Source organism: Homo sapiens, chromosome 18 (assembly GCF_000001405.40).
Source record: "Homo sapiens chromosome 18, GRCh38.p14 Primary Assembly".
NCBI classification, from domain to species: domain Eukaryota; kingdom Metazoa; phylum Chordata; class Mammalia; order Primates; family Hominidae; genus Homo; species Homo sapiens.
Window position 1 is genome coordinate 8,404,486 of NC_000018.10, and position 16,935 is coordinate 8,421,420.

A 16,935-nucleotide genomic window follows, 5' to 3' on the forward strand; every position below is an offset into this window, starting at 1 on the left:
TTACTTTATACAAAGAGAGATAAACTGTGTCCCTTGTCCTCAAATAAATAGGTTGGACTACTAGGGTATTTACAAAACAGAGTGTAGGTGAAGAAAAGGAAATTTCAGTGACAAATTAGGAGGCACTTAAGAAATACTGGACGTTTTCAATTAATTTGGCAAAATGAAAAGTAATAGATACATTTCCTTGGTTGTGGCTGTGATGGGTAGAGACAGTGGTGCTGAACCTCGCTCACACATGTGAAAGCTTGTCTGCTCCAGAAGTAGAAGAGAGCCTTCCAGTTGCTAAGGCTCTGTCCAGGGCCGGGCTCCTGCCAGGTGGCAGGCAGAGGCTTCCTCAAGCCCTGCGTCCCTCTTCTGGGTTCAGAGACCACTCCCAGGCTTGGTTCTATCAGCACACTCCATGCATACAGGTGCAGAATGCTCTCCCCGGCCACCCGAGACCACACCTCAGCCAGGACCTTGTGCAGAGCTTGCTTGGGCCAAGGTACACGATCCAGGAAAGCTGAGCTCAAGAAAAATGAATCCAATGCTGGATGTGGTGACTCGTGCCTATAATCCCAGCTAATTAGGAGGCTGAGGTGGGAGGATTGCCTGAGCCCAAGAGTTCGAGGCTGTGTTGAGCCATGATTGCACCACCGCACTCCAGCTTGGGTGACAAAGGGCCATGTTTCTTAAAAAGAAAAAAAAAAAAAAAAGAAAGGAGGGAGAAATTAATTCCCTGTCTGATGAAGAACTGGTCTATGGGTCCCAGAGGATCTCAAACATTTCCCCTTCTGTACCTTTCCTCGTCCTGTTGCCTCCGCCTGGAATGCCTGTTTTAATTAACGGGTGAGGATGGCCACGTACTTTATCCAAACTAGGGCACTTTGAGAGTGAAAGAGGGTTATGCCAGGACAACAGGCAGAAGCCAGGACCGTCCAGGGCAAACCAAGGCTGCCTCCACTCCACGCATCAGTTCCGTCCTCTGGGGAAGGCGCTGTCCACTTCCCACTGCCATCTTCCCTAAGAAGACCTGCCGTCCCCTGAGCATAGGGACCATTCCACCTCATGTGTTGTCATTGGGTTACCTGTCTCATCCTCCTCACTGGATCACGGACTTCTCAAAATCAGGGACCAGGTCAAGGGGCTTGGTATTCAGGAGGTGCTTATGAAATTCTCATGAGATTGAGGAATTCCCACAGACTGAAAGTCAAAGGTAAAGCTGGATCATGCATGAGGCCTCATCTAGGTACCAAGGGCCTTGTGAGAGATGTCAGGAAGGCATTTCCTGAAGCACTCGTTACTTTCTCTTCTACCCCTGACCCTCCTGCACAAAGCTCAGCATGTTGATATCCTGGAAAATACATGTGTGGACAAACATATTTAGAGTTCCAAGTGTCCAGAACCTTCCGGGAATTCTAGCCAGCACAGGTAGCAAAATACCTTCCACCCAGCATTGTGGGGAGCATCTCCAAACAGTGAATGTATCTGGAGTTCAGAACCGTGACTTTCTGATTCATTTCTAATTCAAATCCTCCCAGATTGATGTCTTCCCATTAAGACCCTACTCTATGGTAATTGCTTTACTAGGAACAGCGTTGAGATATTCTTGAGCTGACACTTTCCCCTCCTGTTTTCCAGGATCAGTACAAGTTCTGCTACGAGGTGGCCCTGGAATACTTGAATTCTGGCTGATGGTGTAAACAGCTCTGCAAACAATCCCTTTCATACCACAAAGCCAAGACGTTCCATGGTATTTGTGCAAAAGAGATGAAGACTTCTCAATATGCTTATTTTGCTTTGCATAATTGGCTCTTTTTAAGAGCCCAAGAAAGTGTTTCTAAAATTGCTTGCACTGCCCAATCCCAGTAATGCTGCTGCCTGACAGAAACACACACACAGCCACAGTTGCCAAATCCCGTACTCCTTGCCACCGGCTTCCTAGAGCAGCGTAGACAGCTGGTAAACTGAAGAGCACAACTATATTCTTATGAAGGAATTTGTACCTTTGGGGTATTATTTTGTGGCCCGTGACCCTCGTTATTGTTACAGCTGAGTGTATGTTTTTGTTCTGTGGAGAATGCTATCTGGCATTATGGTAATATATTATTTTAGGTAATATTTGTACTTTAACATGTTGCATAATATATGCTTATGTAGCTTTCCAGGACTAACAGATAAATGTGTAATGAACAAAGATATGTTGTATGAGTCGTCGTTTCTGTCAGATTTGTATTGTTTCCAAGGGAAAAGCTTGGGGGAGGACTCAGTTCACAAAATGCAAAACTCAACGATCAGATTCACGGACCCAGAGCTTTTCCATGTGTTTATATTGTAAATATTTTTGATTTCATCAAATTATTTATTCATTAAAAGAAATTTTTGTGAAGCACAGTGAGTGACAATCATTTTTCTTAAGGCCTGGAAACGATTTTCTGTATGATGTTACTTTATGTGAATTCTCATCTCAATAAATGATGACCCGTGAGCAGCCGTGGCATGTTCCTGGTGTCCCAGTGCACAGGCGGTGGAGGCCGCACCCGACACGCCAGCACACAGGGGGAGAGAGTGCGGCCGGGGCCTGTTTGCCGGAGCAAGTAGAGTAGAGTTTTTTTGAGAGAGAGTGTTCGTCAGTGAGAGCACTGAGCCCTTCACGGTGGCCTGCCCTGGTGCCGGGGAGGCTCAGCCATGAGCCTGCACCATGGGGCGTGAGCCCTGACCTTGTGGGGCAGCCAGGCCAGGGGCCATGGCAGAGACTTGCTAACTGGAGCATCGTCTTCCTTTCTCTGTTTCCCCTCAGTCTGCGGGGGATAATATCTCTCTTCTCTATGCCTCAGGCCAACCTAAGACTTGCTGAGAGAACAGTTTTTAAAGGGTTAGAGAATCAGAGTGCATTGAAGGACACCGAGCTGAACAAGTTCCCACCAGAGCACCTGCTCTGCGCCACCCTGGGCTCTGGCCGCTGACACAGAAGGCAGGTGCACGGTGGCCTTGCAGCTTGCATTTAGCTTGGGTTTTAGGCTGTGTTAACGATTGCCAAGAGCTGACAGAGGCAAAGCTCTGTCGAACACCTCTTGTGAACCAGATACCATGCAGAGCATCTTCCTGTGTGGTAGCACGTGCTCCCCAAACATGAGCCAGGTACAACTGCGAAACCCACCTGACAGATGAAGAAACTCAAGCTAGAAAAGATTAAATAACCCGTCCAAAGTCACACTGGCTAGCAAGTGCCAGAAGCCTCCAGAGCCCATGGGAGGTGGAAGGGCAGCACCCTCACCATGGCAGAGGAGCAGAGTCTGCTAGTGCCGAGACAGAGACTGGCCCGCCACCCGCTGTGGGAAGTGGAGAGGCTTGAGGGCACTGTTCCTGCCTGCTCTGGGGATCTTGGTGACCAAAGACTTCAAGGGCAGAGGTTGCCCTCCAAGAGGACTGACCTGGACATCTGCGTGTTAGACCTTTACTGCTTCGCTGTACCCTGAGCAATCTATATGCCCCGATTGGTGTAAGTTTCTCTAGACCCCTCCTTAAACTGGGTGGGTGGGACCCTGTCCTCCCCCAGGAAGAGCTGGCTGCAGCGGAGCTTCGAGTCTGTACTCAATGCCTCACATTCAGACTCCTCCTGGAGGATGGCCCCTCGCCATCCCACCCAGTTCTCTTTGCTAAGCTCCTAAGAGACTAGCAGGCTGCTATTTTTGTCTGTCCCTCTTCCAAATGATTTCTCCAGGATATAGGAATAGGGATGAAGACATATGGACCGCTGCACCCTTTGCGGGTGAGCTGGGCCCTGACCAGGGGAGTGTGGTGAAGCCCTTGGCCCTCCGTGATCATGGCGGCGTGGCTCTGGGCTCCAGTCCGTCAGCATGGGTGAAAAGACGGCTCATCTGAGCATGGCGAGGAAGTGACCTCAGATGTGTGAGTCTAATGACACCGCCACTTCCCAGTCATTCCCTGCGTCGTCATACCCCGGTCTCACATGGGAGCCAGTTGTTTTCAATCTCTTGGATTTTTATCTTTCTTTCACTTATTTCACCTTTTAGCGGAAACAGTGATAGAAAAAAAAAGGCACAGGCATTTTGTGGCTTTTTCAGATTTCCCACGAGGCCTCACAGCATGGTTGAGACCTGTTATTTCCAGTACACTGAGAAAGTCTCTGCCCCTCGCAAGCAAGAGAAGCCACCCTCTTGGCTGAGAGTCCTTCTCTGTCTTCTCGCAGTGCTCTGGGTTCCCCTCTGTTGTGGCATCCGGAACCCCCCAGACACTTCAAAGCCTGTGACTGCTCTGGAAGCTGATGGTCCTGCCCCTGGCACGGTCCCCCTCTAAGTCAGCTTCACAGCAGCACCTCATGATGCTTTTGTAACGTGTCAGCACAGCAAGACTGAGGTGTGTTTCCAGAATTCCATTCTCTGTATATTTCCAGATGGGGTGCGCTGCAGGGGTCATTTGGTGTAAGACGTAGAGGCAGAAGGGAAACAGCAGCCACATTGTTTTTACACTCAGAAAGTGGAGCAGCTGTGGGCCCCGCAGGTGAATAACAATGGTGTGAGCTCCTCCACCTCTCTCCTAAGGGCCCTCCTAGCCTCTGCTCACTGGGTCAAAACTCATGCCTGCATTTTTAGGTTTTGTTAAGGTATCCTAGTGCCAGGACTAAAACGTGCATTAGTTACCTTCTGCTGAATAACAAATTGTCCCCAAAGTTGGAAACTTAACAATGAACATTTATTATCTCATACCATTTCTGTGGGTCAGAAGTTCAGAAATGATTTAGTTGGATGATTCTGGCTCAAAGATCGCTCGTGAGGTGGCCATCAAAATGGGTCAGGGCCGCAGTCATCTGAGAGCTTGACTGGAGCTGGAAATAAACTTCTAAGGTAGCTCAGTCACAGGCCTGGCAAAGTGCAACTGGCTGTTGATGGGAGGCCCCAGTTTCCCCCCATGTGGGCCTTTCCACAGCTGCTTAACTGTCCCCACAGCATGGCACTGGCTTCTTCCAGGGATTCAGAATGGAACAAGGCAGAAGCCACAATTTCTTGTATGATCTGGCCTTGGAAATTATATACTGTCATTGCCACAATATCCTATAGTTTCAAAAGTCAGTCCTATTCACTATGTGAGGGGACTGCACAAATACCAGGGCGTGGGGATCATTGGAGCCATCTGGGAGGTTGGCCACCACCTGCTGGCCAGCTGCAGACCTCCCACATCAGCCAGCACCTCAGCATCTGCAGGCTGGTTGGCTGGAGCTTAGCAAATCTCATCCCTGGAACATGTGGCTTGCCAGTCAAGGCTCCTCCCATATACCATCCCCTCTGTCCTACTATGCGTTTTCATCCTAACACCTTCTACTGCGACAGTGCTCCAAGTCGTTTGTAGTATGCCCTAAGGAAACATTATTCCATTGTAAATAAACTTGATTAACACAGGCTTGATTAACGAGGCTGTCTTTCCCCGAACTCCACGGAAATGCTCCCTCTGAAACTTTCTCAAATAGAGGTAAGTCATTCTTTCATGTCTCAAAGATTTAATCAATTTCAACAACCACCCTCATACTCCACTTGAGCTGATGGTCACACCCTGCAGCCTGTCACCTTGAACTGCCTGACCTCTGAAATCTTGAATAAACATGCCACATTCTGACTCCAGCCTCTTCAACTGCTAGCTTTATCTTTGCCTTATTCTTTTATTCTTGTTCTTTGTATTTATGAAAACCTTCAGCCCAATCCTGAGTGCTGCACCCTTTCTTACCTTTTCCACAGAACAACCCAAGCCCCATGATGTATCACTTCAACCAGTTTTGCTAACACCCTCTCAATGCCCTTGACACTTCATACTTCCATCATATCCACTCTACAAATGGTTAATTTTAGAGAAACTCTTCCAGGACTTTTGATCTCAGACAAACTAGGGTAACAAAAACCAATCTACCCTCCTAAGTGTAAGAAATAACTGGGAAATATATATATTTTTAAAAATGGTGTGCAAGATACTGGACATCAGGCAATGAAGGATAACAATCTCCAAGAAACAGGAAACAAATTAGGTGACCCCTAGGATTGCCCTAGCTTATGGCCTGAGAGAACTTCTAGAACATGGGTGCAGGGAGGGGGGATCCAGGTGGAGCCACATGGTTTCTCTTATTTGAGGAGATAAGGCTGAAAGTCAAAAAGGCCAAAGTGGCAAAGATCTGCAGGGCAGAGTATGAGACATAGAGCTACGTAGAGAAAGAGTTCTGAAGATCTCAGAATGTCCCCCTCAAGTCTTTAGCTAAGTACTGATCACAACAACCTTGTAAGGACATTACAAAGAAAAAAAAAAACCTGAAAAGATTAGAAGGAACAATACTCAGAGTTCACACAGGCCAGAATAGTTCCTGTTTCCATTGAATAGAGCACTCATGTTTTTGACTCTGTAGTGGGGCAAAACTATCTCTGGTCTAAGCACAGCTGTGGGCCTGCCTAACAAAGCAATAACTGAGGCATCCAACTGTTTCCAAGTAACTTAATTGCACCTCAGAACAAAACTCAAGAACATTTACAGGAATACAAAAATATCCAGCACCCAAGAAAGTAAAATTCACAATGTCTGGCGTCCAATCCAAACTTACTAGGCACACAAAGAATCAGGAAAACATGACATATGATGAGAAAACCAACCAATGAAACTGACTCAGAAATAATACCAATGAATTAGTAGACAAGCACATTAAAGCAGTTGTTTCATAACTGTACTCCAGATTCTCAAAAAGAGGAAAGATTTAGCATGTATGGCAAAGACATGGAAAATATTTTTTAACAACCCAAATTGAACTTCAAGAGATGAAAACTACAAAGCCTGAGACAAAAAATATATATATATTAAATGTGGTAAACAGCAGATTAGGCGCCAAAGAAGAAAAAATGAGCAAACTTGAAGACATCAGTAAAAACAATCTAAAAACACGGAAAGACAATATTGGCAAAAATAAAACAATGAAGAGAGCATGAATGAACCATTGGAGTCGCAGTAAAGTTAGGGAGAAGGGGCAGAAAAAAATAATTAGTGAAATAATGGCCCAAATTTTCAAAACTGGGTGGAAATTATAAACCCACATATCCAATAAGCTCAGAAAACCCTCAAGAACAAGAAACATGAAGAAAACTATACTAAGGTACATCATAATCAAATTGCTTATAACCAATGACAAGGAGAAAATCTTATAAGCAGCCAGAGAGGACTCACTGTGTGCAGAGAAAGGTAAGAATGACAGCAGACTTCCTTTCAAACACATTGAAAGTCAGAAGATAGTAGAACAGCAATTTAAAGTTCTGAATGAATTTTTTTAATATCAACCAAAAATTCTGTACCCAGAAACAATATTTTCCAAAGTAAAAGTAAAATAAAGAAAATTTCCAACAAAGAAAAGTTGAAAGAATTCATCCCCAAAAGGCCCATGATACAAGAAATAAAGGGAATGATCTCAAATAGAAATCTGCATCTATGCAAAGGAATGAAGAGCACTGGAAAGAGTAATTAAATGGAGAAATATAAAATACTTTTTTCTTCCCACCTCCCAGCACAGCAGGCATTCTCAGGATACACTAAGGCTGAGGAAAAGGGAGGTGGCAAAGGGTCAAGGTCATGGTCCCTCTCATCCAAGTGCCCGGCCAGATGGGAGGGAGTCGTAATGTCTGGTAGCCACCATGCCGGGTCAGACTCCACTGGGATGAGCCCCTGCTCCTCAGCCTCTTTGGTGACTTTAGCCTCCTTGTCCTTATCGTCTTCCCCATTGCCGCCGCTGTGGCAGCTTCGGCAGTAGTGCTGCTGTCCAGTGGGGCGGCCCAGGCCACCAGCTTGGATAGCCTTGGGGCCCAGTGTGGCCTGTGTTGGTGGTGCCCACTGTGTCAGGCAGTGGCAGGGTGCTGTCCATAGTCCTGTCCCGGCTCAGCTGCATGCCCAGGCCCCAGTGCTGGTATAGGAGGCAGCAGCTGTAGCCTAGGCAGCAGCAGGAAGCAACCTCTGCTTGCCCCTCCCCTCTCCAACAGGCTCATCAACTCATATAAGGACAACAGCAATGATTTCATATGCCCCATCTGCTTTGATATGATTGAAGAGGCATACACGACAAAATAAGGCCACAGCTTTTGCTATAAGTAGATTCACTAGAGTTCGGAGGACAATAATATATGTACCAAGTATAACTATGTTGTGGACAATACTAACCATCTGTTTCCTAATTTGTTGGTGAATGAGCTCATTCTCAAACAGAAGCAAAGATTTGAGGAAGAGGTTCAAATTGGACCACTCAGTGAGTAGCACCAATGGCCACAGGTGGTGAATATTTCAAGATTTGTTGGGAACTGACCAAGATAACCTTGATTTGGCCAATATCAACCTCATGTTGGAGTTACTAGTTCAGAAGAAGAAACAACTGGAAGCAGAATCACATGCAGCCCAACTACAGAATCTTATACAATTCCTCAAGGTTGCAAGAAGAAATAGGAGAGAGCAACTGGGACACTTCCAGAAGGAGCTAAGTGTTTTGGAAGAGGATATTAAAAGAGTGGAAGAAATGAGTGGCTTACACTCTCCTGTCAGTGAGGATAGCACAGTGCCTCAACTTGAAGCTCCTCCTGCATCACACAGTAGTATTATGGATTCCACAGAATATAGCCAATATCCAGGTTTCAGTGGCAGTTCTTAGACAAAGAAACAGCCTTGATATAACAGCACATTAACATCAAAATTAAAATGGCCCACTGCTCATTTTGAAGACCTGGAGCACTGTTACTTTTCTACAAGGTTGTCTCGTATCTCAGATGACAGTTGAACTGCAAGCCAATTGGATGAACTTCAGAAATGCTTGTCCAAGGTTACTCAATATAAATCAATATGAACTTTAGCCACATTATCATGCCCTAGTGATCTCTATAATGATTCCAGGATAGTCTCTGGTATTGAATTTGACCAGGATTGTGACTATTTTGCAATTGCTGAGGTTACAATGAAGATTAAAGTCTATGAATATGGCACAGTCATCCAGGATGCAGTGGATATTCATTACCGTGTGAATGAAATGACCTCAATTCCAAAATCAGCTGTATCAGTTGGAGTAGTTACCATAAGAACCTGTTAGCTAGCAGTGATTATGAAGGCATTGTTATCCTATGGGATGGATTCACAGGACAGAGGTCAAAGGTCTAACAGGAGCGTGAGAAGAGGTGTTGAAGTGTTTCATTTGATGGATCCTAAACTCCTGGCTTTGGGTTCTGATGATGTAAAAGTGAAGCTGTGATCTACCGGTCTAGACAACTCAGTGGCAAGCATTGAGGCAAAGGCTGATGTGTGCTGTGTTAAATTCAGCCGCTCTTCCAGATGCCATTTGGCTTTTGGCTGTGCGGATCATTGTGTCCATTACTATGATCTTCGTAGCACTAAACAGCCAATCATGGTATTCAAAGGACGCCAAAAAGCAGTCTCTTATGCAAAGTTTGCGAGTGGTGAGGAAATTGTCTTTGCCTCAACAGACAGCCAGCTAACACTGTGGAATGTAGGGAAACTGTACTGCCTACATTCCTTCAAGGGTCATATCAATGAAAAGAACTTTGTAGGCCTTGCTTCCCGTGGAGAGTATATAGCTTGTGGAAGTGAGAACAACTCTCTCAACCTGTGCTATAAAGCACTTTCTAAGACTTTGCTAACTTTTAAGTTTGATACAGTCAAAAGTGTTCTGGACAAAGAAGGAAAAGAAGATGATACAAATGAATTTGTTGGTGCTGCGTGCTGGAGGGCACAACCAGATGGAGAGTTCAACATGCTGATTGCTGCTAACAGTGAGGGTACAATTAAGGTGCTAGAATTGGTACGAAGGGTTTACTCAACCCTAAATGTACTTGATCCTGCTGATATACCTCTGCAGCTGACAATGATAGAAGAAACAGAAAATGTCATGTGATGTCTCTCCCCAAAGTCATCATGGGTTTTGGATTTGTTTTTGAGTATTTTTCTTTTTCTCTTTTTCCTCCTTTGTGACCTTTGGGACATTGGGAATACCCAGTGAACTCTCCACCATCGGTGCGACTCCATGGACATTGCTACTGTTGGTGGTGTGGTTGTGGTTATCTAATTTTTGTGATAGGGAAACACATTCTTTGAAATAAAAATAAATAACAAAAAAGGTTATTGAGCCACGAATAAATAAATATGTATATATTACTTTTTTCTTATTTAAATATTTTTAAAAGATAATTTTTACATAAAAATTATGTAGGTTACAACATGCAGAAGTACAAGGCATAACAACAATAGCTGGGAGGGGAAAAATTGAAGTATTCTGCTATAAGATTCTTCTAGTATGCATGAAGTATAATATCACTAGAAGGCAGACAGTGATAAGTTTAAGATGTACACATACACCCTAGAGCAACCACTATAATAACACAGCAAAGAGTTACGGTTACTAAGCCAACAAAAAAGATATAATGGAATCTAAAAGAGACTCAATTAATCCAAAAGAAGGCAGAAAAAGAGGGAAAATGGAATAAAGAACAGATGGGATGAATAGAAAGCAAAGAGCAAGATGGTAGATTTAAACTTAACTATATCAATAATCACATTAAAATGTAAATGGGCTAAACACCCCAATTAAAAGTCAGAGACTATCAGATTGAATAAAAAGAAAGATCCAACTATATGCTGCCTACCAGAAACCCACTTTGAACATTAAAAAAAACAACAACAACAAATAAAGAAACCCATCCGGCTGCTTTCTTCAATACTCCAAGCTGTTGAGAGCAGCTAGGAAAAAAAATTACCCAAATGAGTATCTTATTGCTGCTATAAATTCATGGTATCCATCTTTCTTTTTACACTCTTCATGGCCAATAATCTAAGGTTTCTCCACACTAAAGCTACCTATGCTATAGCAATGGCATTCTTCCCCGCTCCACAGGAAAAATAAGCTGTTCACCCTCATACCTGTTACGTTTCCACACCCATCCTCACCCCATTTTTGCCTAATTCAGAGAAACATCATTCATTTCCCTCCTTCAAAAGACAAGTCTTAAGAGCAGGAATGGTCTCTGAGGCCCCCTGGGCACGGAAGGTGCGGGTTGCTTCCTCTCCCCTGGGAGGTCCTTCTCACTGCCTCTGTATTTCACACCCCATTTCCCCAGGTGCTTGATCAGAGAACCTAAGCATTCTCAGACAACCTCCTAAATATCTCATAGATCCATTCTGATCTCTCTAATTCCACTAGCAGGGTGCTTCCAAGCCTCATTTATCTGGTCTCTACCTGACTGGCAAACTCTTCTCCTAGTATTTGATCCTGTTCCTCCAATCCACCCTCCAGTCTGCACCCAGACTGATCCTTAGGAAAGCCAAATATGAGGCTGTCACTCATCCCTGCTTCCCACTCCCTGCCTTCCCAGTGGCTTTGAGACGAAGGTCTGGCTCTTCAGCCAGTCTCATATGGCCAGTCACCTCATTCCACTCCACTCCCTGCTAGGGGCTACAGTCCTCCTTCAGGTCCTCTGCATCTCATCTCTTTCTTATCTCAAAACACTGGCATATGCTCTGCCCTCAGCCTTGAAAGCAACTCCACCCTCTCTCCATCTCCTCCCCATATCCATCCTCCAGCTTTAGTGGCGTGACTTATCCCACAAACACAGGGCATGCAAGTTTCACTGTCAGAACCTTCTTCCAGTCAACTTATATCTGATTCCAGCCCTATCATGCCAGGCTGGAGGAAAATTAGATCTCCGTCTTTCCTGAGGCTTTCACTCTACCCTACCCTCCAAATTTTACAGAATCCTGGGGTCTTATGCCGGGAAGCCCCCAGCGTCCAGTCAGCGTTCATCAGTCTGCCTCTGCCTGTGATTGCCTGGAAACCCCTGTCCAGTCCGTGTGGTCATGGGACCTGCAGGCTCCACTGTTTCCTGGAGCTGCCTGGACCACAGGACACTGGGGAAGGCGGGGCAGCCGGGTGGCCAGAGCCCTGCCTTCTGTGTGCACCACCCAGACAGCCTCTCTGGGGTCCTGCCACCTCCTGGGGTTGCAAGGACAGATGGCTGCATAGTTCGTTTGTTCTCTCTCCACAGTCCTGAGACATTGTTTCTCTCTTGTGCAACATCTCCCAGTCTCTCTCTCTCCCCGTTGGGGACACCTGTAACAACTATTTCCGTGTGCTCTCCTCCCACTAACAAAGGTCCTGGAAGCTAAGACTCAGAAAGCCTCACTTCCTGCTTCCAGGGGGAAAGGGAAATGATAACAGAAAGGAAACACCAACTCAGAAAGGTATCCTGCCTCATTCCAGAGAGCCTTCCCTGGCCCTGCAGGCTACGCTCACTGATCTGTCTCTTAGGACTCTTCTCCTTCCTTTCTAAAGCTCAGTGTCCCCGTATCCACATGTTCAACGTCTGAGTCACCCACCAGACTGGAAGCCCTGTAGGGCCCGGAGCCTCACACAGTGCCTGCCACTTTGTGTTTATTAGTACTGGTAGAATAAGTGGACGAAGGCAGGAATCAGCAGACAGTATACTTGCTAGCCCTTTTGTCTGCGCAGGCAAAACCTATATACTTGGAAAATCTGTTCTGGGTTTTGACAAACTCTGAAACACCCAGAAAAAAAAAAATGCTTGCTCTTTCTTGAGAAACTGCTGTAAAGCCCAGGCTAGAAAGGATAAAGGAATCGATTACTGGTCTTGGTCCTGATAGAAAAAATTGTGGAAAGCCAAAGGAAAGGTACCTGTTTTAAAGGAAGGGAGCTTAAAATGCAGGCAAACAGCAGACAACATGTCATCGTCACTTGTTTTTATTCTAGCTAATGGTGTTTAAGTGGCTGCGGTGATACAGTGTCTCAGCCCTGGATGACACACACTCTGTAAAGGGAAGTCTGAAGTGTGGGAGCAACCACTGCGCATTCTATTGTGTCCCACATCAGAATAACAACTCTTACCTCCTCTCCAGCACTCGTGCTTAGGGGAGCGGTGGTGGTTTCAAAATAGGTCCACAAATTCTCTGCTGAACCTCCCTGCAAGAGGTGGAGCCTAATTCCCATCTTCTTGAATATGGGCTGGACTGAGTGACTCAATTGTAACAAGGAGGACAAAGTGGAATGAAGGTGTACAATTCCAGGATGAGGTCATGAGAAGGCACAGGGGTGAATGCCCCTTTGGAGAAGCCCCACAGATGAGGAACCGAGGCCTCCAACCAACTGCCAGCGAGGACCCAGCAGTCATAGACTGAGTGGGAAATGGATCCTCCAGCCCCAGGCAATCCAATGACCTGAGCCCCACAGCCTACACCTTGACTGCAAGCCCATGAGAGACACTGCACCAGAGCCTCCCACCCAAACCATACTGACTCCCGGCTCTCCAAAACTGTGTAAGGTCACTAATATTTGTTATTTTAAGCTGTGAGATTTGGGGGGTAATTCTGTACCTCTGACTTAGGCTCTAATTCTGGCATCCAGTTCTGGAGGTTCCAGAGAGAGGTACTTCTAGCCTAGAAACTTAAAGGTGTAGGTCAAAGTTCCTTATAGTCCAGGTTCTGGAAACTTCTACCCATGGGGTATTTCCCCAAGTATGGTACAAAAGATGATTGTAGATGGTGTAAAGATGAGTATTTATTTTCATAACACTTCTGAATTTAGTTTACTATGTATTGGAAAGTGCTGGTTTTCCACTTTGGAAAAGTGATGGATTTCTTAGTGTCTAAGGGGAATTTGTGCAGGAAAAGGAATGCACACTAGTAACTGTAATTTAGGCAATGTGCCAACTATTAATCTTTGGAATTTATTAGATAATTAGCATTCTTTGAGATATTAAATAATCAACACCGTCCTAAATATATATACTTACTTACAACTAATAAATAAAAAATTATGGATTTAACAAAACAAATTTTCCCAATCAATAAGAACCTAGATTGCAAACTTAACCCAGCACTTTCAGGCATTTAATTAAAATCTCAATTCTAACATATTAACTTCCTTCGATGTTCTAAGACCCTTCAAATGCAAACTGGTCTCACACATGAAAAATAGATTACTAAATTGATTAATACCCTTACTCCAAAAGCAGTTACGACGATGTGGATACCAAGACTTTAATCAGTGTCCTTTTTTGATCCTCTTCTCCTTGTATATTTTCACTGTTACATTCTTTACATTGTCCTAAGATTTCAGTAACTACGAGTTCAGTAACTCCTATTTTTCACCTTTCTGGAATTTCACAAATTTTACCAGACTCCAAAGTAAGAGAATATTTTCTTGATCCCGCTGGGACTTGGCAGGTCTCGTTTGGGTGACCTGTTGATTTTTGGTCAGGACATGGTTATGTAGACCAAGCAGATTCAAACCTGAGCTTGGCCATCAGGATGTTTCTTTTTATTACAAAGAAGCTGCACTGGTTATACCCTGGGACTTCTATGTTCCTGTCTTCCTTAATGATGGTAACTTTGGAGACTTGGTGTCTTTCCCGGGAATGAAATGGTCTTTAAGTTTTGTATTTGACCTCTCCTTATTGTCCAATAATTATGATTTATTATTCTGGTCTATTAGCATAATTGGAAGTTTATGGGCACATGTCTTATTAGTATCTCTTTATAATTAGTAGAGTTATCCGGAGGTTTCCCCCTTTGAGAAAAGATGGAGTAAGTCTGGAGCTGGCTCATTCTTCTTTTAAGGACATTTGACATCTGCGTTCTGCAGGAACGCATATTTGACTCCTCTTTAATTGGTTAGTGTGTGAGAGCAGCAAGGCTGACCAACAGGTGGGTTACTTCCCATCTGCCATCCACACGTTCCTCGTCATGACACCATTCCTTTTTATGCTGCCATGATTTTAACTGACTCACCAATTTCAGGTCACTCTTTCCTGCTCATGCTGGTCCATCAAGGTATCTGCTAAATAGACATGTGTTTACCAAAGACACAGGACACCCATAGACAGCAGCACTTTTCCACTATTGAAAATAATAAGGATGAGGCATATTCTATTAAACTCACTCTTTCTTTAAATCACTCCATTTTTAATACTTAATATTACCTATCCTGAAATTCTTTTCTTGCCCCCAAATATACCTGCAGGCTGTACAGGAAACATAGCGGCTTCTGCTTCTGGGGAGGCCTCAGGAAGCTTCCAATCATGGCGGAAGGCAAAGAGGGGAGGAGGCATCTCACAGGGCCGGAGCAGGAGGAAGAGAGGTTGGGGGAGGTGCTACACTGTTAAACAACCAGGTCTCATGAGAACTCACGAACTGTCACGAGACAGCACCAAGGGCACAGCGCTAAACCATTCATGAAGGATCCACCCCCATGATCCAATCACCTCCCACCAGGCCCCACCTCCAACATTGGGGATTACAGTTCCCCACGAGGTTTGGTGGGGATACAGAACCAAATCCTATCAACCTTCAACGGAGTCTTACTTTCTTTCAGTTGGAGAATGATGTTAGAGACCAAAATCTGGGTCCCAGGCATGTGTGTGAGCTGTGGTGTTGGAAAAATGCTGTTTCTGATGTTGCTATTGGAACATTTTTTCTAAGAGTTGTCATTTCTTTTAAAATCGTATCTTCACATTGACTTAATCTGAACTGGTGTATGATTATATTAGCAGATCTTTCTAATAGCATGAGTCCACCAACCACCAAGACATTCTCTCTAGGATTGATGTGCTATAGAGATATAGTTTCCTTTTGAAATACATTATTTAACATCAAAAAGTGAAACGGTTAAAAAATACGTTGCAAATATTAGTACAGGCAGTACTGGAATATGACAAGCAACTTGAGTGTGAACTGTGAACGAGCAAAGCTAAGCAACAACCGCAGAGCAAGCTCTGAACTTGCTCACTGGTCTGACCACCTGGGAGGCCCTCTCATGCAACATGTTGGATTGAGTTCCAGGGTTGCCACAGCAAAACATCATAGGCTCGGGCTGGAAACAGCAGAAACGTATTGTCTCAGCTCTGAAGGCTGAAGTCCACAGTTAGGGTACAAGCAGCGCCTTGCTCCCTTGAAACCTGTTGGGGAGACTTTTCCTTGCCTCCTCCGAGCTTCCGGTGTGGCTGGCCATCCTTGGAGTCCTTGGTTTGCAGTTGCGGTGCTTCAGTCACTGCCTCTGTCTTCACATAGCCGTCTCCCCTGCATGTCTGTGTGTTTCCGTGTCTCTTCTCCTTTTACAGGACGCCAGTCATATTGGATTAAGGGCCCATCCTATTTCATCTTAACTAATTACATCTACACTTATTTCCAAATAAGGTCGCATTTACAGGCACTGGGGTGACAACTTCAACATACCTTTTTTAGGAGCATAATTCAATCCATAACAACAGGCCTGTCAGGGAGCAGAGCTCAGCCTTGGCCCGATGCACATTCTAGGTCTGCCCTTCACTCAAGGTCTGCAAGTGCAGAGGCTGCAGGTGTTGAGGTTAGAGACGCTCATCCCGGCTCTGTGTGGGCCCCAGGTTCATGCCACAGGCCTCAAGCCCATCTTCAGCCTCTGGGCTGGACCACAGGGGCCACAGCTTTCTCCTTTTGGTCATCAGGGCAGGATCTCAACCGGAGGGTTGTTGGCTGATCAGAATTCAAACTGAGAGTGGAGAGGTAGTTTGGAAGAAGAAACTTATTTCTACCTTAGAGTTTCCTCAACTATAAAATGAAGGTTTTAGGCTAATTCAGAGGTTTTCCAACTTCACTGTGAGGAGTGACCTCAAGGTCACGTGCAGAAAGAGTGGAGGCTGAGTTCCACGAGAGCGATACTTTCTGTTCTTTCTCCATTTGTGCAACTGTCTGCTCTATACCAAAATCAAGCCTAGGTTCTTTGTGCGTATTTACTCTCCTTAACTTTTCTTTTTCTTTTTGTTTTTTTTTTTTTTTTTGAGACGGAGTCTCACTCTGTCACCCAGGCTGGAGTGCAGTGGTGCGATCTCGGCTCACTGCAACCTCCACCTCCCGGGTTCAAGTGATTCTCCTGCCTCT

The 16,935-nt window shown here is 45.0% G+C and overlaps 1 protein-coding gene and 1 pseudogene across 29 annotated transcripts in view, besides 1 other annotated feature; both read left to right on the forward strand.

Moving 5' to 3' along the window:
- PTPRM (protein tyrosine phosphatase receptor type M) overlaps window positions 1–2,371 on the forward strand; it is an 839,541-nt gene extending 837,170 nt beyond the window's left edge. For all 29 annotated transcript variants that reach the window (XM_011525708.3, XM_047437715.1, XM_011525712.3 and 26 more), the window contains one exon: window positions 1,624–2,371. In XM_011525708.3, coding sequence (XP_011524010.1) covers window positions 1,624–1,677 — 54 coding nt within the window. In that variant the 3' untranslated portion in view covers window positions 1,678–2,371. The remainder of the gene's footprint in view (window positions 1–1,623) is intronic.
- Window positions 2,096–2,740: an enhancer, noted in NCBI's record as "H3K4me1 hESC enhancer chr18:8406579-8407223 (GRCh37/hg19 assembly coordinates)". NCBI's record gives its function as "activates a minimal SCP1, AML or CMV promoter by ChIP-STARR-seq in naive H9 embryonic stem cells {active_cell/tissue: H9 hESC(naive)}" and the evidence as "EXISTENCE:reporter gene assay evidence [ECO:0000049][PMID:30033119]".
- On the forward strand, window positions 7,500–10,146 carry COP1P1 (COP1 pseudogene 1; annotated as a pseudogene).